Source organism: Homo sapiens, chromosome 2 (assembly GCF_000001405.40).
Source record: "Homo sapiens chromosome 2, GRCh38.p14 Primary Assembly".
Lineage (NCBI taxonomy): Eukaryota > Metazoa > Chordata > Mammalia > Primates > Hominidae > Homo > Homo sapiens.
The window spans coordinates 186,651,590-186,677,124 of record NC_000002.12 but is presented as its reverse complement, the minus strand read 5'-3'; the positions used below and the strand labels follow the sequence as shown (position 1 = coordinate 186,677,124).

Below are 25,535 nucleotides of genomic sequence, written 5' to 3'. Positions count from 1 at the left end.
TATTACCACTAAGAACATTTAAATTGTATTTCATAAAATTTATCTTCCCTCATATAATAAGTAATGCTCATCAAGTATCATCATTACAGTCCCTTTCTTCCTTCCCTTACTTTTCATTCTTCTTTTCCTTCTTCCCTTTCCCTTTTCTTCTGCTTTCCCTCTCTCCTTCTTTCTAAGTCCGTTACTTACCCTGTACATTACAAATACCAAAACAGCCAGTAGCAACAATCCTGCTAGAACTGCTAAAATGATCACCCACACAGGCACAGGCATGGGCGCTGGCTGAATGCCCCAGGTGACATTAGTGGTAACCTATCGAGGAAAAAAGCTTTTAGTTTTAAAAACAGTCCATTGACTTAATCAACAAATATCTGAGTAAATATTATATTTTATTTTAATGGAATTCACAGTATATTCTTTTCCTGCATATGATAATTTAGTGGTTTCACATTTGATATCAAGAGCATGCACATACACACATGAAACTCCCAATGATAGGCTGACTTCTGATTGCATCTGACATGATTTGTTTTCCTTTTTTTTGACAGAGTCTCGCCCAGTATGTAGGCCAAGCTGGAATGCAGGGGCATGAACTCGGCTCACTGCAACCTCCATGCTTCAGCCTCCCCAGTAGTTGGAATTACAGGCCTGCGCCACTATACCCAGCTAATTTTTCTGTATTTTTCGTAGAGAAGGGGTTTCACCATGTTGGCCAGGCTGGTCTTGAAATCCTGGCCTCAAATGATCCACCTGTCTCAGCCTCCCAAAATGCTGGGATTACAGGTGTGAGGCAACCACACCCAGCTTGAAATGATTTTTAAATAATCCAATCCAGTTTACTATGTGCTGATCCCATTTTTACTCCTTAAATATCTTCAAAATGCCTCACTTGTTGCAGTTAATTTCCAACTTTCTAACTTTGTAAACGAAAATTCCTAAAATTTCTCCAATATAATTTAGTATATACTAAGAAATCTCTTACACTGGACAAGATGCTAAACTAAAAGGTCTAGCTTTAATCACTTCGGGGTAAGGAGTAAAATGATAATATTAAACTAGGTTATAATGCTATCATATAACTTCATTAGTTTAAATTATCAAAAAAGTTAAGCTGTCGTTCTTTAAAAAACAAAATAAAAACATGTACAGCATTTGAATTGAGTAAATTTATTCTATTTGCCTAAACCAATGACTTACCAATGTGGAGTTGGTGATATCCTCAATTGGAAGATTCTTATAAGGAAACTCTATGACATTAAATGAAGCAGACGACTTCAGAGAATAGGAATGATTCTGATTTTCTTTCTGTTTGGAAATAACAATTAGATGATTTCCCAGATATCAGGCCTTTTATATTTATTTGAAAACACTGGGTATGTTTGCTAAATGCTGCACCTGTCTACTTACATTCATAAAAGTCTCAGTCCACAGTAATGACTTTACGTACAAGATTGCACTCTTTCCTCTGTCTAATCTCCCAACTTGGCAGACAATCTTCAAGCACTGAGCAACTCCACAACCCTGCCAAAACAAATCCTTTACTTATAAGAAAAGGTCATTCTATCATCTCTTCAACATTTGAAAATTTGCCATTTTTTTTCTTTTTGTGTGATGGCCAAAGAGATTATCCAGATTCTTCTGTCTTGAAAATAAACAGGCTAATAGTTGAGTCTATGAATGCTTTTTATTGTGAAGGGGTTGGTATGTTTCTTTTCTTTTTCTTCTTTTGCCACACATGTAGTTCCTTGTAAATGAAAGGGTTGGTTTTATCGTGATTTGTTATAGAAAGATAAGATCCATAATATTAAAAGATTCACTCTATGACTAGAACTCAATATTCTTTAGGCAAACCCATAACATGGTGATATTTGTAAGATATAATAACCAGATCTCAACATCCCCATGGAAAAGAAAACAGAATTTTTAATGGTTTTTCCATGGAGGGCCTACAGAAATCAAATCGCATGCTGATGGCCTCTGACACATTTAATGTTTTAATCAGTAACTTCGAGGTTGGCAGCCAAAAGAAATAAATATTCACCACCTTCTATATGCTGATCACACTGTATTAGACATATCACATATATACACCTCATGACAATGTTATCCAGTAGTGGTACCATTTGTTGACGATTAGGAGTAGAAAAGAGTTTCCTTGACCTGAGAAAGGGCATTGATAAAAAGCCCACAGCTAATATCATACTTCATCCTTCTTTCTCCCTAATGTCAGAAATAAGACAATAGCAATCAAGCCATTTCTACTCAATATTGTACGGAAGGTTCTAGCCAGTGCAATTAGGTAAGAAAAATTAAGGCCAGGTGCAGTGGCTCACTCCTGTAATCAAAGCACTTTGGGAGGCTGAGGCAGGCGTATCGCTTGAGGTCAGGAGTTCGAGACCAGCCTGGCCAACATGGTGAAATGCCATCTCTACTCAAAATACAAAAATTAGCCAGGCGTGATGGTGGGCACCTGTAATCCCAGCTACTTGGGAGGCTAAGGCAGGAGAATCGCTTGAACCTGGGGGGCAGAAGTTGCAGTAAGCCAAGATCATGTCACTGCACTCCAGCCTCGGTGACAGAGCTAGACTCTTTCTTCAAAAAGAAAAAAAAAAGTAAAAGGTATCCAGATTAGAAATGATAAAGTAAAGCTATCTCTTTGTAGATGACAGGATCTTACATATAGAAAACACTAAATAATCCAAATTAAAACTATTTAAGCTAAAAAAACAAGTACAGAAGAGGTACAGGACACAAGATCAATATGCAAATATGAGTCATATTTCAGTATACTATCAATAAGAAATCCAAAAAAGAAATTAAGAAAACAACTTCCTTTAAAACAGCACTGAGGTCAAGAGCAGTGGCTCACACCTGTAACTTCAACACTTTAGGAAACCAAAGTGGGAAAGTCACTTGAGGCCAGTAGTTCAAGACCAGCCTAGGCAACGTAGTGAGATTCTATTTCTACAAAATGAAATTTAAAAATTAGCCAGGTGTGGTGGGTGCACCTATAATCCTAGCTACTCAGGAGGCTGAGGCAGGAGGATTGCTTGAGCCCAGGATTTCGAGGTTGCAGTAAGCTATAACTATGCTACTGTCCTCCAGCATGGATGAGAGAATAAGACCCTGTCTCTACAAAATAAAAATAAAAATAGACCAGGCACAGTGGCTCACATTTGTAATTCTAGAACTTTCGGGAGGCCAAGGTGGGTGGATCACCTGAGGTCAGGAGTTCGAGACCAGACTGACCAACATGGTGAAACCTGTCTCTACTAAAAAAATACAAAAAATTAGCCAGTCCTGGTCGTGGGCACCTGTAATCCCAGCTACTCGGTAGGCCAAGGCAGAAGAATTGCTTGAGCCTGGGAGGTGGAGGTTGCAATGAGTCGAGATCACACCATTGCACTCCAGCCTGGACAACAAGAGCAAAAACTCCTTCTGAAAAAGAAATAAAATAAAATAATAATAATAATAAAAAGCATTGAAAAGAATACACAGAAATCACATAATCAAGGATGTGCAAGACAAGTACACTAAAAGTGACAAAATATTGTTGAAAAAATGGTAGAATAAATAAACAGAAAGACATACCATGTTCATGAACTGAACTATGTAATGTTAAGATAGCAATACTCCCTAGGTTGCTCAAGAAAATTGCTACCAAAATTCCAACTACCTTGTCTGCAGAAATGGACAAGCTGATCCTAAAATCCACATGGAATCGCAAGGGACTCTAACCAAAATAATCTTAAAAGGAATAAAATGTATTCATATTTCCCTATTTCAAAACCTGAACTCCAGAGCTATGGTAATCAAAACAATTTGTTACTTGTATTAAGGATATACATATAGGTCAACTGAATAGAACTGAATGTCTAGAAATAAATCCATATATTTATAATCAATTCATCTCCAACAAGACTGCCAAGACCATTTAAGGGGAAAGAATAATTTCTTCAACAAATGTTGCTCAGACAGGTGGATAGCCACACACAAAAGAATCAATCTGGACCCCTACCTCACACCATACACATAAATTAACCCAAAATGAATCAGGGATGTAAATGTAAGAGCTGTAAGTGTAAAACTTATAAAACCAAAAAGCCTAGGTATGAATCTTCATGACCTTGTATTGGGCAATGGTTTTAAAAATATGATGACAAAATTACAAGCAACAAAAGAAGACATAGATAAATTGAACTTCAGATTTAAAAATTTTTGTGCATTAAAGGACACCATCAAGAAAGTAAAAAGACAGTTCACACAGAATGAGACAAAACCTGTGCAATCATATATCTAATGAAGGTAGTATCCAGAATATATAAATAACTCTTTGCAACTCAACAATAAAAGGCAAATAACCCAATTTAAAAATGGGCAAAAAATTTGAATAGACATTTGTCTAAAAAAGATACACAACTGAAAAGATGCTGAATATCATCAGTCTACAGGGAAATGCATATCAAAACCACAATGAGTTACTTCTTCACACCAACCAGGATGATTATAAAAATTTTAAAACAAACAAAAGCAGAAAATAATAAGTGTTGACAAAGATGTGGAGAAAATAGGACCCTCATATATTGCTGGTTGGGATTGCAAAATGCTGCAGCAACTTTGGAAAATAGTTTGGCAGTTCCTCCAAAAGTTAAACATAGAGTTTCCACATGACCTAGCAATTGCACTCTTATGTTTATTCTCAATAAAACTGAAAAACATGTTTACATGGAAATTTATGCATCAATGTTCATAGCAACACATTCAAAACAGACAAAAAGTAGAAATAATCGAAATGTTGATCAACTGATAAATAGATAAACAAAAGGTGGTATGTCCACACAATGGAGTATTATTCAGGCATAAAAATGAAGTACTGGCTGGGCATGGTAGTTCACGCCTGTAATCCCAACACTTTGGGAGGCCGAGGCGGGCGGATCACGAGGTCAGGAGATCAAGCATCCTGGCTAACATGGTGAAACCCCGTCTCTACTAAAAACACAAAAAAATTAGCCGGGTGTGGTGGTGGGTGCCTGTAGTCCCAGCTACTCGGGAGGCTGAGGCAGGAGAATGGCGTGAACCCGGGAGGTGGAGCTTGCAGTGATCCGAGATTTCGCCACTGGACTCCAGCCTGGGTGACAGAGCGAGACTCTGTCTCAAAAAAAGAAAAAAAAAAAAAAAAGGAGTACTAAGGCACACCACAACATAGATCTTGAAAACATGCTACATGAAAGAAGGCTAGACACAAAAGGCCATATGTTGTATGATACTATATGTATGAAATGTCCAGAATAGGCAAATCAGTAGGAATGCAGATTAGTGGTCACCAGGGGCTGGTGATAGGGGAGAATGGATAAACTGCTTAATGGGTACAGCATTTCTTTTTGGGGTGACAAAAATGTTTACAATTATAGTGGTAATGGTGGTTCAATGTTGTAATTATACTAAAAAACACTAAATTATGCACTTTAAAATCATTAAAATGGTTAATTTTGTGTAAGTTTTGTCTCAATTAAAGAAAACAGATTCTGAAGGAGGACAGAAAGTGCAAGATCAAAAGTGGGGTTGGGAGGTAGAAGGCAGTTTCTATTTCACATGGGTTGGTCAGGGAAGATCTCTGACATAATTTTACTTTTAAGGACATGAGAAGGATATGGGAAAATAAGCCACAAGGATATCTGGACAAAGAATTCCAGGCAGATGGAAGAGCAATTTTCAAAGCATGGAGGAATAAACATGCTTGGGGCTATCTGTTCAATGAAAGCAAGGTGGAAAATTTGAGAAAGAGAATAGTAAGGAGAGGAGATGCAAGCAGAGAGGCAGGAAGGGCCTGTTGATGTTGGGCTTAAAGGTCATTGTAGCCTCTTGCTTTCTCATTGAGTTAGATGGGAAGGCACTGGAGTGACACAACCTGACCTATATTTAAAAGGATCACTGGGGCTTCTATAGCATACAAAGTATAGTGGGGAGAAAGGCAGAAATACAGAGGCCAACCAGGGGTCTGGCAATAGTCCAATCGAGAAGGGAAAGGAGCCTGGGTTAGGTTGTGTTAGTGATGAAACTGGTGAGAAGGGGCCAGATTCTAGGTATTTTGAAAGAAAATACTGATGCAATTTGCTGAAATACAAGACGTGAGATTTGAGAGAAAGAGAGGAGTCAAGCATGAGGTCCAGGTGTTAGAGAATGAAGTTGGTATTTACTAAAATCAACTAAGAACTTTATGGAAAGAGCAGACTTGGGAAAACCCAAGGGTATATATTTAGAATTGTTTGAGATTCCTATTAGATATTTAAAAGCAGTTTCTAGTAGGCAGTTGGATATTGGAATCTGAAGTTCAATGCAGAAGATCAGACTGGAAATATAAATCAAAGCATCTACACCACATGGTATTTACAGCCATGAGAGTCAACAGAAGGAAGTGATTAAGTGAACCAAAGCCACTAGGCAATTGAATGGTTGAGGACTAACAAGAACCACAGAATTTGGTGATGTAAAAGTAACTAGTGATCACTATTGAACATAAACAGTGCTGGGCATGGTGGTTCATGCCTGTCATCCCAGCACTTTAGGAGGCTGAGGTGGGCAGATCGCTTGAGCTCAGGAATTTGAGACCAGCCTGGGCAACATGGTGAAACCTCATCTCAACAAAAAATACAAAACTTAGCTGGGCATGGGGGAGAGCGCCTATAGTCCTAGCTACTTGGGGGACTGATAGGGGAGGATTGCTTGAGCCTGGGAGGTCAAGGCCTCAGTGAGCTGTGTTTGTGTCATTGCACTCCAGCCTGGGTGACAAAGTGAGGCTCTGTGTCAAAAAACAAACAAACAAACAAACAAAAAACACTATACCAGGTTCTCTACTAGAGATCTGGAGATTTGTTAATTAAAAGAAAAAAGAAAAACAATTGCCTTTAAAAACATTATAGCCATTATATAGGCTAACTCAACAAAGGTTAATCAAGTGCTAATTATTATTCCAATGTATTTTTGTTGGGACCTTCTGGATTTTTTAGTATCGTACTAAAGCCTCAGAGATTAGGAGGAGGCCCAGAAAGAGGACAGTTAAAGAACTAGAGTAGGAGAATCAAAGTTGGGACATAAACTAGTTTTATTAGCCATCTACAAAAATAGCTCATTTGAAGAAAATATGGCATTAATCTGACTAGGAAAAAGGAAAGTGAGAGGAATGCATGGTATAAAAATAAATGTAGTTGTTCAAGCACAGCTGTTGTTATTTTTGAAATGTTCTTTGGCGTCAGTTCTATAGTCACATATTTTTAAATGTCTATGGTGCACATATTTGAAATGGCACTTACCAAAGTGTGAATATCTCCTTCACTGAGGGCAAGATCCCGCTTAGTGATGAGATGGTCCCGCTCACCTTGCCCGGCAACCGTGTCATTCTTTTCAGTTGTTTGCAAAGATGAGATCTAATGCAATCACATTAATAAAATGGTGGTAAATGATAATGAAAAACATTTTACATCAGCATTTTGATATAAACTCTTAGATATGATTAAAAAATAGTGAATGAAAATTTAGTATGACAGAATATTTACCACTCAGTATATAGTGAGCAGTAAGGACAGAAAATAAAGATTAGAGTCTTTAATATGTACCAAAAAAGTTAGCTCTCCCTAACCATTATTTTCAGCCCTTGCTTAGCTAGAGTGGAAACTGATGAAACATACAGAAATGGCCTGAAATTCCACAGTACATTTGTGATGTCAATCATGGGTATATCTTTTATTTTGTTTCTTCACCTTTCCTTAGATCATATTGTGTAATAGTTTCTAGTGCAAATCTATGATGGAGATGACTATATCCAAAAGTCAAGATAATCATGAGTAAAATGGTATAGCTTATCCCAAAGGTAGAAATTTTAACAACAAAACACCCTTGATGTGATATTATGCCCTGAAGAAACAACAACGTGATGGAGCCAAGGTCAAACTGAGTCACTGAAGGACACATCTCATGAGGCTCAGTAAGCACTCTATGAAGATGTGGTTCACTAGACATCACAGAATCAATTCTTACCCATTATACAAATGAACTTATCCTAAGTGTACTGCTTATGAACTAAACCATTTTTTGCAGAGTGGGTTTTATATTAAAATAGTTGTTTTATTTTATGAATTTCTTTTACAGGTTTAGAAAGAAGGCAATGAAATATCATTGTAATGAAGAGCTGCTATTAAGCATATTACCTTAATTCTCAAAGGGTTGATCTCCATATCTGAAGTGCAGTTCATTGGTCCATCAATATCATAATGAAGGATATACAACAGAGTGTTATTATTATATTTGTAAGGCCACTGAAGATGGAGCATTGCCTTGCTGAATGAACTTGGACCATTGTTTCTCAGCTAAGGAGAAAAAAGAAAATGTATCTACACCTTGGGCAAAAATCTGTTCCATAATCCTTCCCCTACATCAACTTTAGAAATCATGTTAGCAATAGGTTTTAAATAACAGCAATTTCCACAGTTAACCTCTAATTACAATGTGACCATTTTTATGCAAAAATGATCAAACTCAACATTTGTCTCTAACACAGAGTAATATGTGTCAGGATAAAAATATAAACAAGGTTGGGCACAGTGGCTCATGCCTGTAATCCCAGCACTTTGGGAGGCCGAGGCGGGCGGATCTCTTGAGGTCAGGAGTTCATGTCCAGCCTGGCCAACGTGGTGAAACCTGTCGGTGAAACCCTGTCCCTACTAAAAATACAAAAATTAGCCGGGCATGGTGGTGCACACGTGTAATCCCAGCTACTCAGCAAGCTGAGGCAGGAGAATCGCTTGAACCCGGGAGGTGGAGTTTGCAGTGAGCTGAGATCGCGCCACTGCACTCCAGCCTGGGCGACAGAGCAAGACTTCACCTCAAAAAAAAAAAAAAAAAAAAAAAAAAATATATATATATATATATATATATATATATATGTATGTATGTATAAACAAAAGGCAAAATATTTAAAAGTTATTAATGAAGGATGACAAAGAAAATTTCTTCCTATAGAAATAGTTTTGATTATTTGCCATAGGTATTTTCAATTTTTAGCCAGAACTACAAAATGCCCATGAGAAAGTACCAATGACATTTCTTTATTCAAGTAGAACTAATTTATTTTAAACAACAAATTATATAAACTGCTTTATTTAAACAAGTCTATTTGTCAAATAAAAATGAATTTATGTATAGGGAAAATATTCAAAGAAATCTCTGACACATACTTAACCAATGTAGAGTTTACATAAAAATTACATAGAATTTTTTTTTTAAAGTAGCTTAGTTGTTCCTCTCTTCGTTGGCTTGCTCACGAGGTTTGAGTAAAATCTAACAACTGCAAACCTCATAGATGTGCTGAACAACTGGCCCAACATCTTCTTCAGTCTCAGGGTTCTCCTTGTGCTCCCAGTTTGGAATCGGAAGAAAGACATGATCAGGACTCGAGACTCTAAACAATGACCAAAGAAAACCTACCATGAATATCAAAATGATATAGTCAGTTCATTTTCAAAAGTACCCCATATTCATTACTCAAATAAATAAAATTAGATTTAATTTTAAAAAATACTTTAAAAGAAAACTAATGAACACACACATGCACAAAAACTGCTCTTATGAAATGTACACGTAACAGGTGAATTGACAATTTGTGTAAAAGTTCAACAAAATTATTTTGTGCATGTTGTTGCCATGTCTTGTTCCTTTTGAGGATCACCCAGTATTGGGGGTTTGGAACATACCTAGGATTTTATTTCTACAGAAGCTAATGCCCTAGTAAAACCACCACTAAACATGCAGGGTCTATTGTCCAGAAAAGGCTAAGGCCTGACAGTTACCTTTAAAAAGCAATCATGAGAATGAGATACTCAACTAAGTATTCATACTGACCCTCTTATCTCAACTGCAGCTAAAACAGCAAGATCAACTTTGTGAGATACAACTGGGCTTACTTTGTCAAATAGATTTGAGCTGAAAAAGAAAAAAAAAAACTTAAAAATGAATTATGCATAACAACCAAGAACATACAGAGGCAAACCCAGTGAAACTAAAAATTAACAAACGAAACAAGTGTAAAGCTTATACCTCAAAATAGTTATTTTCATTAACACTTAATTCCAAGAAGATGAACATTTTCTTTCTGGATTTTAAATTTTGTTTTACAAACTCAAATCTGACAATAAAATTATTCTTATAATGTAAATATTGATTTTAAAATGCTATAGTCAAGCAATAAAATTTAATCTGCTACTTTATATTTAAAGTATATTACATAGTATATTTACAACAAATAATATTTATTTGATAGTTATAAGTGAATATAAGTTGTTTTCATACCTTTGGATTTGTAAGTCAAATTTCACAGAAGTATCCATCTCTGACTGCTGGTGCACACTGAAACGAAGACCAGCTAAGAGCTAAAGGAGAGAGGAAAAGATAGTAATGCTAGTCAATGTCTAATTAGCAAAATTTCAAATCCAATGTCTAAATAAAAAATAATGTTCTAAAATGGGGTTTTTCTGAGCTTACAATAAAACTGAACAAAGATAACTAAATCTTATTTTCTATCAAACCTATTTTACTTAATATACCTGGACCAATCCATAAGAGAGCCTATTTAACAACAATTATTAATCATAATTATACCTCCTTATAATACTAACCATCTTTCTAAAAAGTGCAAAAGTAAATGTTTGTTGATCCAGTGAAAGTCTAGCAACTGGGTACAATAATTTGATAACACGAAGCTAACCACCAAAGTATGTGCTGTGTTCATAGGCCAGGAAAGAAGAAATGGATGGTTTACTAGAGTAAGGGAACATGGCTAAAGAAGGCATGAGTAGGGCCACAACCAGAATTTCTCCACACACCTCTCATAACACTCCCAACACCAAATATCCTAATTCCTGCAGGCAGAAAATTGGTAGATTTTAAATAAAACAATTGAACCACCAGGTACAAAAAAGAAGGCTTCTTGGGGATCACACAAATGACATATAAAAACAGTACTTCCTGGGTTCTGCCTCCCACTCCACAAAACCTGGAGCTGGCTACTTGTAATAAGCAGAAACTATATAATAACCAGAAAGTTAGAGAGAATGAGAATATGAGAAAATAAAAGGCATGCTCATTGTTAATAAAACATTGAATACACGTGAAAAACTGAACTTAGGGTAATTTGTTCAAGTTCTCATCCCTAAGATACCATACATCTAGAAATACTAATGACTTGTAATAGAAAACATACTAAAGAAATATGGAATATTTAGACCTGTATTACCACAGATCTTCAAAGTACCAGTATCAATAAGTCATTAAATAAATTCTATTGAAAAAGTCACACAGCATATGCTGCCATTTTGTCCTTGCTACTAGAAATTCTACAAGGTATATTTTGTTTACTTTTTAGAGGATTCGGAAAGCAAGCCATTGGCTGCTTCTTTTCAAGCTCCTGGGCACCCTGCTCCACCATCTGAAGGGGAGCCTGATTTAACTGACCTTCACTTTGATCCTCTGTGTGGGGCCTGTGATGGAATCTAGCTCACCTAGGATTGACAGTCTTGGTAGTTGCCAGAGTAGCTTTTCAGGATCCATTAAGGCATCAGTGTAAAATAGCAAAAATTATTATTTCAGTCCTTAGTTTAAACCACGTTCTCATCCATTCACTAAAGTGAAGGAGGCATAAAGAGCAGCTGATTGCAAACCGTGTAGGAGCACAACCAATTGTTTTCGTATCTTAGTTAAAACTAAGCAAAACTCTGCTAATCATTTAACTATTATATCGAAACCAATTTAAGGACATTGTTTTGAAGTGTTTATTTTTAAAAATTACTATGAGCCCAGACAACAATATGCTTTTCTATTTGCCAGGGAGAAAAATCCGTTTAATTAAATTGTCTTACTTGAGTTCCAGCCTTCATTGGGTTTCCAAGGTCACATACCACCTGGCGAGTTTGGTTTTCTGTCTTAAATGCACAGGAAAGTCTTGCTAAGGCCTTTGATAGACCAAAAAAAAAAAAAAAAATGGATATGAAAGGAAATAAAGTATCACGCAGTTGGATATTTCAGTTTCTTGTCCTAAGCAAATAAATCTAGTTGAGCAAACCAGGAGGTAAGGAAAAAGCCAGAATTGGGTACAATTGCCACATGGAAATGCAGAAGTGTTTCTGAAAGATCCCTAGAGGACTACCATACAAAACCATACAGCCTCTGACAAATAATTTGATGGACAGGCTTAGACACTTTATCTATCTAACCTTGTTTCCAGGCACTTAGCTTGCAATTCTAAAAATGTCATATCAATGCATTATGCAAAGTATTAGGCTTAAAAGGAATTATGTAAGATAGGCACTCCATTGTCTATCAATTTAGCCTTAGGTAGAATAGCTAAGCTTGTGCTTCACTAAATAGGGGAACAGCTCATTAATGTTAATAAGATCCGTGAGTGCATTTCAATTTTTAAAGAGGCAGCCTGCTTACTTCATTGTTTCGGACAACCCCGATGAAATCAGCCTGCAGTGGAATGGAAACGATGAGCTCAGCTTCGTAGGCACCTTCTCCTTGATTCTGAGCCTTAACAATCAATGTCAGAGGGTTGTCATCCCCAATATAGATCTTCTTTTGATCACTACAAGTTAACAATACAAATCCAGACTGAGAAAAAAAGACTACATGGGGAAAGTATGACTGTTCAAAGAAAGAAGAGATAAATACACAGCACTGACATGTTCAACAGTGTCTCAAGGTATTTTAAGACTACTTCACAGCTTGATAGAAAACAGAAAATAGCACACTGGGTGCAAATCGAATGCTTCTCTCAATAAAAATAAACATTGATGCCACTAATATATCACTATCATTCATATCTATTACTGAAGTGAATTACATGTACTTTGTAATTCCCCAATATTTTTCTAAAAGCTAAATTAATCACGTGTCATAATTCTCACAATATTCTTTATAATTCATATGCCTTACAAAATGGTAAGGATATTCCTTGAGTTCAAAGAATGTTTATGATGAAGTGTATCTTTAAAATGATACAATATTATTTTGTGATATTACCCAAAGTTGAATGGTAATAACTCTTTCAACCTAGGCAACTAGTGAAAACACAGTGGATATTTTCTTTAGAAGCTCAATATTGATAGTTTTAGTGTTATAGAAAATCAGGCATTACCCTCCAGGATAACTAATTCTCGTTAAAATATGTTAGTCCTTTGAATAGAAAAATGTGCCCTTCCATTTAAATTTCTTACTACATTATTATTTCAAGCAAAACTTACCTATCTACAGAAACTTCCAGCTTGGGTTTACAGACATTGTCTTCACCACAGTCAAGTAGAATGTGAGCCTAGAAAAAAACATTTTATTTTTCTACATGAAAAATACCAATGCAGGTGGCATAAGCAGTGTTTATCAATATCTATGTGGTTAAGCCTATATGTACACATGTATATATTTTCAGATACTCATCAGCTTGTTTGTTGTATACCTGAATGCAAAAGAGACCATGGCCACTTATTTTTAAGCAGGTCAGTGTAGCCAGTCAAGAAAGAGAAAGAAGAAAAAGATTCATAGGATATGATACAGTTCCTTGGAACCTTTCAGTTTTATCTCAGATTAAGCTGTTATCATATTTGAATGAAGACTGGTGTAGAAAAGAAAGTAATAGCCAAGAAATGAGGCTTCATTTTTACCCTGCTGCTAGTTAAGTTGTGAGATGTTGGGCAAAATAGACTCCCTTCTAGAGTTTCTCATTATGGACTGTGCCTCTACCAATATCAGGAAATAGGGCTGCAGAGGATAAAAGAATAAGGAGCTGTAGATATTCAGCAGCAATTCAGACAGGCAGAGAGACCAAGGGGCAAAAGAAACTGGATAAAATGAGTCCAGCATTGCATGGTCATTTGGAAAAAGATGAAGGAAAAGGAACTTGAAGCATTATAGTTAACCAATCAGGGTAGGTGAAAAAAACAAAGACCTGAACTTTTTCCCCACTAGATCTGGCCAGGAGAATGTTCCAGCTAGAGCAAAATGGAAACACCCAAAAGAGAGAAACAGTGGGAAAAAAGCAGAGGAGCTGGATAGGATGTGAAAGAAGAAACATAAAAATTAAGAAAAGAATGGAAAATAAAGATGAGGCCATTTTTGCTTTGCCTACTGGTAACATCCAAAGGGCTTCAAGCACAGAAGCAGACAAAAAGAAGAGAGAAAAGGATTTAAAGGAAAAGAAAGATAGAGTCCTTTAAAAAAAGGATGATGATTGTAAACTTCCAAGTCACAAGGAATGTCCGGAATTAAGGCTTCAACATACACATTTTGGGGGAACTCAGTTCAGCCCTTAACAATATTTAAAATATTGTCATTTTTACATGGAATCACTTAAAAATTATCAGTGGAATATTTTGCATTCTGTTTCTTACTGTCTTCAAAATCCAGAATGTATTATATACTTTTAGCACATCTAAATTCAAATACTTAGGTTTTATTAGAAATTTTCTTTGCATTTACAATTCATATAATTCACAGTTGAAAATGTAGATTCAAATACTCAAGTTGTTCTAAACTTACTAAAAGTTTTGCAGTAAGAGAATTAAGCATCAGCTTTTAACGTTAAATTAATTAAAATTAAATAAAATTTAAAAATCAGTTCCTCAGTGACACTAAGCCCATTTCAAGTGCTCAGAAGCCACATGAGGCTTGCAAGTGGCTATATATTGGACAAAGATTCGTAACTGTCGTTTTAATTTGAAGGAAACACAAAAATATACGTGAATTAATTCAATTACCTAGATATAAGCAGTTGCTATAAGCCTTTTTAAAAAAGGACTATTAGAAGAACTATATGGTGATTCTTTACATCATGCCAAATATAAATCAACGCTTGATTAGATCAAAGTGTGGACTTTACAGATAACAAATTAACTAGTGATAAGGTATGTATAACATTCCCAGTTAGAATGTTAGATGAGTATCTTAAGTTTGCAATGAGACATATGTATAAAATATTAATAAAACTGTAATATAGAGATATTTGGCTGATATCACTCTATAGGGGAAAAAAAGGACTTAGCTGGCATTGAAGCAGCCATAGTATTAAAATATGCTGTCAGGAAAGATAGTTTCAGAAATGGAAAAGCAATGTCTTCCATGCTCAGAAAACCAAGTCTCTACAGTTATATATATTACATCTTGCACAAAGTAAGAAATTAGTATGTATTTGAGGCTGGGTACGGTGGCTCATGCCTGTAATCTCAGCACTTTGGGAGGCCAAGGTGGGTGGATCACGAGGTCAGGAGATCAAGACTGTCCTGGACAACATGGTGAAATCTCATCTCTCCTGAAATACAAAAAATTAGCCGGGCGTGGTGGTGGGTTCCTGTAGTCCCAGCTACTCAGGAGGCTGAGGCAGGGTAATCGCTTGAACACAGGAGGCGGAGGTTGCAGTGAGCCAAGATTGCGCCACTGCACTTCAGCCTGGCAACAGAGCAAGATTCCGTCTCAAAAAAAAAAAAAAAAACAAAAACAAAAAAAACTTAATGTGTATTTGAATGAAAAAAATGAGAGAAAAAAACCCAACTCTTTCTGCAGAAAGCACTAAATCTCTAACACCAAAGGATTAGGGAGCAGAAAGGGAAACACTAGAACTGCATTGTCCAATATAGTAACCGCTCGCAAGCCTCATGTGGCTTCTGAGCACTTGAAATGGGCTTAGTGTCACTGAGGAACTGATTTTTAAATTTTATTTAATTTAAATTAGTTTAATGTTAAAAGCTGATGCTTAATTCTCTTACTACAAAACTTTTAGTATGTTTAGAACAACTTGAGTATTTGAATCTACTTTTTCAACTGTGAATTACATGGATTCTAAATACAAAAAAAATTTCTAATAAAACCTAAATATTTGAATTTAGATGTGTTAAAAGTATATAATACATTCTGGATTTTGAAGACAGTAAAAAACAGAATGCAAAATATTCCACTGATAATTTTTAAGTGATTCCATGTAAAAATGACAATATTTTAAATATCATTAAGGGCTGAACTGTGTCCCCCCAAAATGTATAAGTTGAAGCCTTAATCCCCAGTATCTTAGAATGGAACTGTATTTGGCAATATGGTCTTTCAAGAAGTTATTAAGTTAAAACGTCTTTAAGGTGGGCCCTAATCCAATGACTGATGCTTAAAAAGAGATTAGGACACAGACACACACACAAAAGGAAGACCATGTGAAGACACAAGAAGGTGACTGGTGACTGTCTACAAGCCAAGAAGAGAGGCCTCAGAAGAAATTAGCCCTGCTGACTCTGGATCTCAGACTTCTAGGCTCCAAAATTAGGAGAGAATCAATTTCTGTTGTTTAAGCCACCCATTCTGTGGTACTTTGTTATGACAGCCCTAGAAAACTAATATAGATATATTTTTAAAATAAATTTCACCTATACCTTTTCTACCTTTTAAAAAAATGTTGCTAACCAGCAAATTAAAAATTACAAATTAAAAATTACAATTAAAACTTTGTATTTCTATTTGACAGCAAAGAGAGAGTGCATGGAAGAGTTTGTAACGTAACCAGTGAAATGAAGCATCCATTTTAGAGAAAAGGAAATGATGAAAATGGTGGGGTAAGTAATTAACATAAAAACAAGAGCGAATAACAAAGCTAAGAACGCAGAAAGAAACATACCTAAAACTTAATAATGTCACTGATGGAACAAATGTAGGACACAGAGGAGACCAAAACAAATTTTTTTCAAACAATGAAGAATGAGAATAGGTGGGAAAAAAAGGAAGTCAAATATTACTGCAGTTATTCTTGCCCTCCAAGGGTTTCAAAAGTTAGCCTACTTGATTAGCTGGTTTTAACATGGTATTGGCATTAAAGAAATTGGATGGGGAGTTTGGAAAATTAATCAAAAGTAGTGATAACAATGATAATAAAAGATTTCTAAAAAATTATAAAACTATAAACAGAAAATAACCATAACCCATATATGAAAGCACATAATATAAAGTGACAAGTAACAATTAACTTTCAAAGAAAGTATAATACTGAATGACAGACATTAAGAGGCTCAGATGGTCATTATTAAACTATTAATCAACATAATATTGTGCATTCATTAAAAATAAAAAATGTAAAGAATATAAACACAGAAGTATGGTTATAAGTTCTATGTTAATGAATACTAGAAAATGGCACATATACTATGATTATTAATGTACAGGATGAAATATGAAATTGTTAAAATATAAAAATTAGAAAAGACTTTTAAAAATATTTTAATTTGCCTTTTGCTACTGTCACATATACAGAAAACAAACCAAAAAAAAAAGAGCTTATGGGATCTCAGAAAGACAAAAAAAAAATGATAAACTAAATTTAGGGCAAAGAGTTATGAAGGAAGAAATATTAATGTAAAAACATGAACATGTAATTTAAAAAGGAGAAATAGTAACTAGAATTAACAATATTTAAATACATTACACATAAGATTTTCTAAAACTAGAATACCACCTATCAAATTTTGTTGCTTTCTTTGGTTTTCTGAAAAGAATTATTTATTTACTATATATGCACTTTTTAAAATTAAAATATCAAAAATAACAGATATCAAATATATTTAGCAAAATACTAAAATACTATGTAAACAAACTGGCACTTTGCTGTTCTTGAATTATTTTCCTATTTCATGTATATGAAATGTCTTTCTCTGTATATCTCCATGTTGAGTGGCTTTAAATATCTCTGACTTGAAAATTCAGATTCCCAAAAAAATAAAAACCAAAAAGAAAAAAAAATAGAAAATTCAGATTCCTAAACTTCTGACTTTGACTAAACATCTATCAATATGATAAAGGAAATCTCCTCTAATATTTAAAAATATGAATTGTAAAAAAAAATAACAAAATATCACATTAGTGGTAAACTGAGTACAGTACCTGTCGACTAATGTTAGCAGGCGTGAACTGGTTAAGAATGGGTTGCAAGCCTGTTGTATCAGCAGCTGTTCTATAATCCAACCGATATTCCATAAAAATAGTAATTGGAGTGAGTTTGTCTCTAAATTCAGATTCATCCTAGAAATGGAAACGCTTTGAATTAATGATAACGTCAACCTAAATTATCTGGAGAAATCCATAAGTGCACATTACAAAGCCAGCTGTATTCATCCCTGAGCCTTCAATTCTAACAACATTCTCTGGAAAATTATACTTATGTAGAAATAGAATATCCAAAAGAAGATTATCCTTATCAAGTAAGAGCCTTTAGTCAATTTTTGTTTTACAATGTACTATTTGATTCACACGAAAGTACGAGACATGTTAACAACATGAGCACTCAAACACACACACCCAACATAATAAGAACATTATTGATACTGCTTAAGCTACCCAAATACTTCTTTCTCTTCCTCCCTCTGCATTCCTTCTCAATAGGATTACATGTAGTCTTCTGTGACTTGCTTTCTGTCCTACACTCTTAAGATCCATCCATTCTATTGCATGTAGCCTACGTTAATTTTGTACTGTTGAGTACTATTTCATCATGTAAATATACATTCAGTTATCCATTCTGTCAAAGGCTATTTTGATTGTTTATGGGTTTTGTTTTTGCTATTACAGAAATTGCTGTGATTATTCTTATATATAGTGACAAGTATATTTGTCAGTTCTGTAGTACCACATTATTTTCCAGTCTTCAAAACAATTCACACTGCCGTCCGCAATGTATAAGAATTCTTAATTCACATCTTGACCAATTAATAGGTATTGGTGGACTTTGTTTAAATGTAAGATTCTATTTCTTCATAGTCATAACTTGGGGTATTTGTCTTGCTTCTTAAATCTTGAAGTTTTTAAAATTTACTCTAAAACCTTTTTTGCACTTAAAAAAGACAGTCACATATTTCTTCTTTAATCTATTCATGTGGTAAATTACATTTTTAGACTTAATATTAACCCACTCTAGGATAAATCCAACTTGGTTTATGTATCTTTTTTTACAAACTGCTAAGACTTATTTGCTTATAATGGCTTAGTCATTTTACATCTATTGTAAGACTAGAATGAAATTCTCCCTTCTGGTACTATCCTTGACCACTCCAGGAACCAATTACACTAGTTTCACAGATTGACTTTGAAATATTTTGGTTTTTTTTTTCTTTCAAAGAGCTATTTAAAATTGAGAAGTCTTGTTCTTGAATGTTTGATAGATATTGCCTATAAAACCATCTGGGCTTTGTCGTTTTGTAAAGATTAATGGCCAATTCTATTTGTTAAGTGTTTAGAGGATTATTCAGGTTTTCTGTTTCTTCTTTTGACAGTTGTATTGTTTTTCTAAGAATTTCCATGATTTGTCTAAAAGTTTTCCTATGTACTGGCCCAAGGTTATTCAAAATATTCTGTTAATTCCTCCCTTATCTGTAATGTCCCATCTCAATTCTTAATTTTGTGGTGTTTCTTTCTTACCTTCATTTTTTCTTAACTTTCATTTAAATTAAATAGCATTTAAGGCTATACATTTATCTTTACATTCTACTGTTGTGATAGCCTATACATTTTGATGTCACATTTTCATTGTAATACGGTTGCAAGTAAATTTCCATTATGATCTTGTTTTTGACCCATAAGTTATTTAAAAATCACACTTCCCAATTCCCAGTTGATCTTTTTGTTATGGATTTCTAACAACTGCACTGTGATAGTATGTATTCTATAAAATTACTTTTTGAAATTTGTTTAGACTTCCTTTATGGCCTATGCATGGTCAGTTTTCATATTCTTTAGTTGTTAGGTGTAGGTTCTATATAAGTCTGTTAAATCAAGTTCATTAATTATGTTGTTGTCTAAATATTTACTGATGTTTTTGTCTTGTTTTGTTTTTTCCTTTAAATAAAATAGAGTCTCACCCAGGCTGGTCTCAAACTCTTGGCCTCAAGTGATCCTCCTGCTTTGGCCTCCCAAAGTGCCAAGATTATAAGCTTGAGCCACTGTGCCCAGGCCCTTTATTTCTTTAAACATTTTATACAAATTTGTGCTCTGTAGCTGGTCTTTGTGGGTCTAAAATCTGATGCTTCTTCTAGTGGCTTCTGTGTGTGTGTGTGTGTGTGTGTGTGTGTGTGTGTGTTTAATGAATTCATATTTGATCAAACTTAACCTATGGAAATCCTGGGGCCCATACTGGATTGCTCCCCTTCAGCAAGGTTTTACATTTGGCTCTTGCTGGAATCAGAATGCACCTCTGTCGTAAGAACACTTAGCCTTATACAACTGTCGGAATTCCTGTGCTGGTGTCTGCAATTACCACCTGCCCTCTCCTTAGGCTTCATCCTTTGCCAGCAACTCTCGCTCATATATTTGCTTATAACTCACAATTCAGATTTTTGCCACTGGAGTTTTTTAGTTGATTGCTCATTTTTTTTTTGGACTCTGGTGATTTCTTTTACTGTCTTGAAAGTTCAGTTGCATTTAAGAAATATGTTTATCATAATTTGTTCAGTAGTATTGTTGTGGAAAGGCCATTTGGAATATCCAATCTGCCAGAAGTAGAAGTCCATCATTCAGGTATGACACTTTACAAAGCTAAATTTCCTTTGTGTATTTTTCTGTTTTTCCTTTTGATCTAACACTAATTTACAGAAAGTGAAAATCATTTAGATAAAAAACTAATGACTAAAAAGGAACAACAAGGTAGCAGAAAAGTTAGCTCTTACCCGCAGATACGCTATCAATTCCTCACACTGCATCAGTCCCCCCCTTGAAATAGTCATGTTCTTGGAGTGACTTGGGGACCTGCTGTAGAGAAACAGTGCTCGTCGAATTGCTCCCTTTTGCTTGAGTTTATCCAAAAGAAGTTCCACCTGGAAATCTATGTAAACCAAAGGATTTATAACCAACATATTCTTTATGGACATCTATCTATCCTACTCTAGAGTTTTCATGTAAACAGAGATCTTTATTCCTTAAGAAGTAAATTGCTTCTAATTAATTTAAAATGTCATTACATTGTAATGAGACTACAACATATTAATTCTGAAAAAATATTTAATAATAATTAAATAATTAATCAAACTTTCCCTAAAGTAATGTCATAAATAATTCCCAAAAAAATGATAGTAGTAAGCCAATTATCAGACAGGAGAAATGCTATCTTTTAATTTAAGCTGAGAGGAGGAAATCCAGAGGATGAAACATGTGAATTAAGACTTCCATCATAAATTCAAGTAGCAAGAGTCTTGCTGATTTTGATTAAGAAGTATTTGCTCATATGTACTCATACCATCATATTAAACACTATGATGAATGAACAGTTTGCCCCACTTGAAACTCCTGCTTCCAGTGAAGCTATCATATCAAACTGTCAGATGAATATGCCTTCAGGAAGCAAGTGATCAAACAGAGTTAAATGCATCAAGAATCATTGTAAAAGGATGTAGCAATTAGGATTACTGCCTTGTAAGATTCAGTTCTTTAAATAGTTTAAGAGAGTGCAAATCTTTAAAACCAGAATTCGCGTCGCAAGTTTCTCTAAAAGGTGACCTTTATTTCAAATTTGGGTGAATACCCGGGGTTATTTTGCTTCATGTTCTGTTCTACTAGGCCATATTGACCTCCATGCCGTTTCTCAACCACTGAGCACATTTTCCGCTTCAGGCCTGCTGAAACTGCCAGTTCCTCTGTGGCAAACACTCCTCCACACATCCCATAGCTCCCTTATTTCCTTCAGGTCTCTACTGAAAAGTTTTCTCCTAGGGAGACCTTACTTGGCTGCCCTATGTAAACTTTCACACACAAACACACACCCAACAGTTTCAGTTTCTTCTCTGCTTTACTATTATTCCTTACCACTTGCCATTAACATACTGACAAACCCTGGCAATAATTATTTAACACTCCTATCTTGCCTATCTTGCTCTCAGGACCACATCAACCATTTTAGGAAAAGAAGAGTAGAGTTTGCTGTGTGAATTAAATTGCATGACCAAAACTTTTTCTCCTCCTTCTCACTATTTCTAAACCACCTCTACTCCTGAGATTGCTTGGGGCTGCTCAAAGACATAAAATACAGACTTCTCAGCAGATCATCTACTTATAAACCATAATATTCATATTTCCCCAGAGTTCATTATGTCACATTCGTAACTGCTTAAACTTCTAAAGGTCATATTTACCATTCTGTGGGCTATTTAGCTCATAATGTCCATAAATAAGTGTATTATTTTTGAATTAGCTTAAGGGTTACCAAAGAATATAATTATGTTGAAATCTTAAATGTCTTTAAGCATAAACATTCAAATAAAAAATTATAATAACAATTCAAGTAACTATTTGAATATCTTAAAATATTTTTTAAGTGCTGTGTATGCAGTATCATTAAAATAATATGATTTTTCATAGAACACTTACTAAGTTTCCTGGGAAGTACTCCTTTGCCATCTGCCTTTAAGCAGAACCTAACATTAAAACTGTGGAAAAATAAAAAACATACATAAATTCTATAATTCAGTTTAGACATATTTTTATTATCACCCACATCTCATCTTTCTACTACATAGTTTGTATTGTGAAGCCTTACATCTTTCTTCATGTCTTAATATTATTCTAAAAACATGAAACTATATACACTAACCTAACTCATCCTTCAGTAATTTAAGCACATTTCCTTTCATGGTACCTTGATGAAAAAAAGAAAAATAATGTCCTAACTTTCTCTCAAGCTTATAGAACCTATTGATAAATCTAAATGAGGGGTATGACAGTTCAGATTTTTTTTTTTTTTTTTGAGACAGAGTCTCACTCTGTTGCCCAGGCTGGAGTACAGTGGCACGATCTCGGCTCACTGCAACCTCTGCCTCCTGGATTCAAGCAATTCTCCTGCCTCAGCCTCCCAAGTAGCTGGGATTACAGGCATGCACCACCACACCCGGCTAATTTTTGTATTTTTAGTAGAGACAGTGTTTCACCACGTTGGCCAGGCTGGTCTCAAACTCCTGACCTCTGGTGATTCGCCCGCCTTGGTCTCCCAAAGTGCTGGGATTACAGTGAGCCACTGTGCCTAGCCAACGGTTCAGATTTTAAAAACTGTCTCATTGATAAAAGGACCCACCAAAACTTTCTTTAATTAGCAACCTCCTTTACAGCAGTGTTCTTCACAATTTATTAGCAGGTTGTGAAACCAGTTTAATGGGTTGTGTTCAGCATCTTAAGAAAAATTTTTTAATAAATAAATAAAACTGATTTAGGTATCAAAGGTAAGTACGATTTTCTGAAATGCTTGATTTAATTACTTTTATGTGTTTATAATGCAAAATGTATTTCTATGTGCCATACTCAAAAATCATATGATGTTACTGCTCTAGTTAGTGCATTTGAAGCCTTTGAATTACTAACATAATTAGAAGCAGATTATTGGCAACTTCACAGAGGTATGCAGGGTAGAAAAGCAGTAAAACTTACAGCAAAATCTTGAAAACAACTTCATTGCCAGTTCAATAAAAATGAAGACCAAATATTACTGAATTTTTAAATGTAATCCAATTAAAGAAATGAAAGTTTCAAAATTTTAATAACTATAACAATAATTCAAAAATATTCAAAAACAAATTCAGGAACAATATCTTTAATTGGCTCTTTTGAAGTAAAACTTTTTTAGGCACCAATCATTTTCTCCTTGATCATAAGTTCTCTGCAACTCGTCTGTGTAAGTAAGGAACATGAATAGTGTTTCCCAAAGTGGGAACTCATGAATGACTACTCATGGTGATTTTGGTAGTATATGGGTCAAGATTTTTCATTAGTTTTATATTTATATTGATATGTATGAGAAAGATACTGGTTTCTACATTTTGCTTTTAAATACTGTGAAGTAAAGCACGAGACAACTTAAAAAAATATCTATAATGAGCACTTTGGGAGGCCGAGGCGGGTGGATCATGAGGTCAGGAGATCGAGACCATCCTGGCTAACAAGGTGAAACCCCGTCTCTACTAAAAATACAAAAAATTAGCCGGGCGTGTTGGTGGGCGCCTGTAGTCCCAGCTACTCGGGAGGCTGAGGCAGGAGAATGGCGTGAACCCGGGAAGCGGAGCTTGCAGTGAGCCGAGATTGCGCCACTGCAGTCTGCAGTCCGGCCTGGGCGACAGAGCGAGACTCCGTCTCAAAAAAAAAAAAAAAAAAAAAAAAATCTATAATGAAAATAGAGCAAAAATTACTGAAGTAGCATACAAATGACAAAGATGAGAGAAAGAATGGAGTAGAGAAGAATTCAGACATTTAACTTATGAAAAATTATTATATTTTTCTTTGGAAACTAGTAAAGGAATAAGCAGAAAATTAATATATTAGAGCAAAATAATTTTTTTCATACAACTGTTCATAGATATTAAATCAGAAAAACAAGATATCTTTTAAAAATGTAAGTGTTCATGGGCCTGTTTGGAATTACATATAAATGAACTGAGATCTTATTAGCTTTTCTTTCTTTTTGAAAATATTCATTGACCACGCATAATTCTTTAAAAATTAATTTCATACTAATTTATAGAGTATCTTTACAGCCTTTAGATATCCTTTTTGGAGCACTATTTCTATAATCCAATTTATAACATGAAAATAGAGTATAAGGCCAGGTGCAATGGCTCATGCCTGTAAATCCTAGCACTTTAGGAGGCTGAGGCAGGATGACTGCTTGAGCACAGCGGTCTTCGAGACCAACCTGAGCAATATAGGGAGACCCCATCTCTAAAAAAATTTAAAAAATTAGCTGGGTATGGTGCCACACACCTGTAGTCCCAGCTACTATAAAGGCCAAGGTGGAAGGATCACTTAAGCCATGGTTGTGCCACTGCACACCAGCCTGGGCAACAGAGGCAGACCTTGCTTCAAATAAAAAAAGAATAGAAAAAACAGTATACTCACAGAAACTGTTTTAGCAATATTTCAGCCCTACCACCTTCATTTTCAATTGTTCTTACAATGCCTGAACAATAATCACAATAATAACTATTATTAAACAAATACCCTTACCAGGAAACTTTGAGAGCTGTTCCAGGCAGTGAGCAGGTTTTATTGTCTTGATTTAAAATGCTAGGGTACACTTCAAGACCAGCATTTACAGTGATAACTGGTCTGGCCCTAGCGGGGGAGGGAAAAGAAGATGAAGTAAAAAATTATTTAAAAAGTTAGGTTGATTGAAATATTTTTGGTTCATATTCACTACATATATAGTACCATGTCTACTAAAAGCATTGTTTGTAATAGTAAAAGGAACAGGAACAACATAACCGTAGGTGATCAACTGTCTTAGTTGCCCAGAACTGTCCTAATTTTAGCACAGAAACTCCTGCATCCTGGGAAATCGCTCAGTTCCAGACAAAGTGGGACAATGGCTGGCCTATATGAATTCAGTCACTAAAGCAGAATGGCTAAATAAGTTGTGAGATATCTACCGAATTCGCTGCACTACCGTGGAGAAAATGAGTGGGATGACCTCTAAGACATAACCAACATATAGTTTTAGTGGGAGA

The 25,535-nt window shown here is 35.1% G+C and overlaps 1 protein-coding gene across 4 annotated transcripts in view; it reads right to left on the bottom strand.

Moving 5' to 3' along the window:
* The window catches only part of ITGAV (integrin subunit alpha V), a 90,846-nt gene that overhangs the window by 3,777 nt on the left and 61,534 nt on the right, over nt 1–25,535 (bottom strand). For all 4 annotated transcript variants that reach the window (NM_002210.5, NM_001145000.3, NM_001144999.3 and 1 more), the window contains 15 exons: nt 25,036–25,143; nt 22,417–22,475; nt 20,724–20,878; nt 17,950–18,087; nt 13,290–13,357; nt 12,484–12,631; nt 11,907–11,999; nt 10,342–10,421; nt 9,895–9,975; nt 9,349–9,454; nt 8,205–8,363; nt 7,311–7,424; nt 1,408–1,521; nt 1,198–1,305; nt 190–312 (listed from right to left, as the gene is read on the bottom strand). In NM_002210.5, the coding sequence (NP_002201.2) occupies nt 190–312; nt 1,198–1,305; nt 1,408–1,521; nt 7,311–7,424; nt 8,205–8,363; nt 9,349–9,454; nt 9,895–9,975; nt 10,342–10,421; nt 11,907–11,999; nt 12,484–12,631; nt 13,290–13,357; nt 17,950–18,087; nt 20,724–20,878; nt 22,417–22,475; nt 25,036–25,143 (1,654 nt within the window). The remainder of the gene's footprint in view (nt 1–189; nt 313–1,197; nt 1,306–1,407; nt 1,522–7,310; nt 7,425–8,204; nt 8,364–9,348; nt 9,455–9,894; nt 9,976–10,341; nt 10,422–11,906; nt 12,000–12,483; nt 12,632–13,289; nt 13,358–17,949; nt 18,088–20,723; nt 20,879–22,416; nt 22,476–25,035; nt 25,144–25,535) is intronic.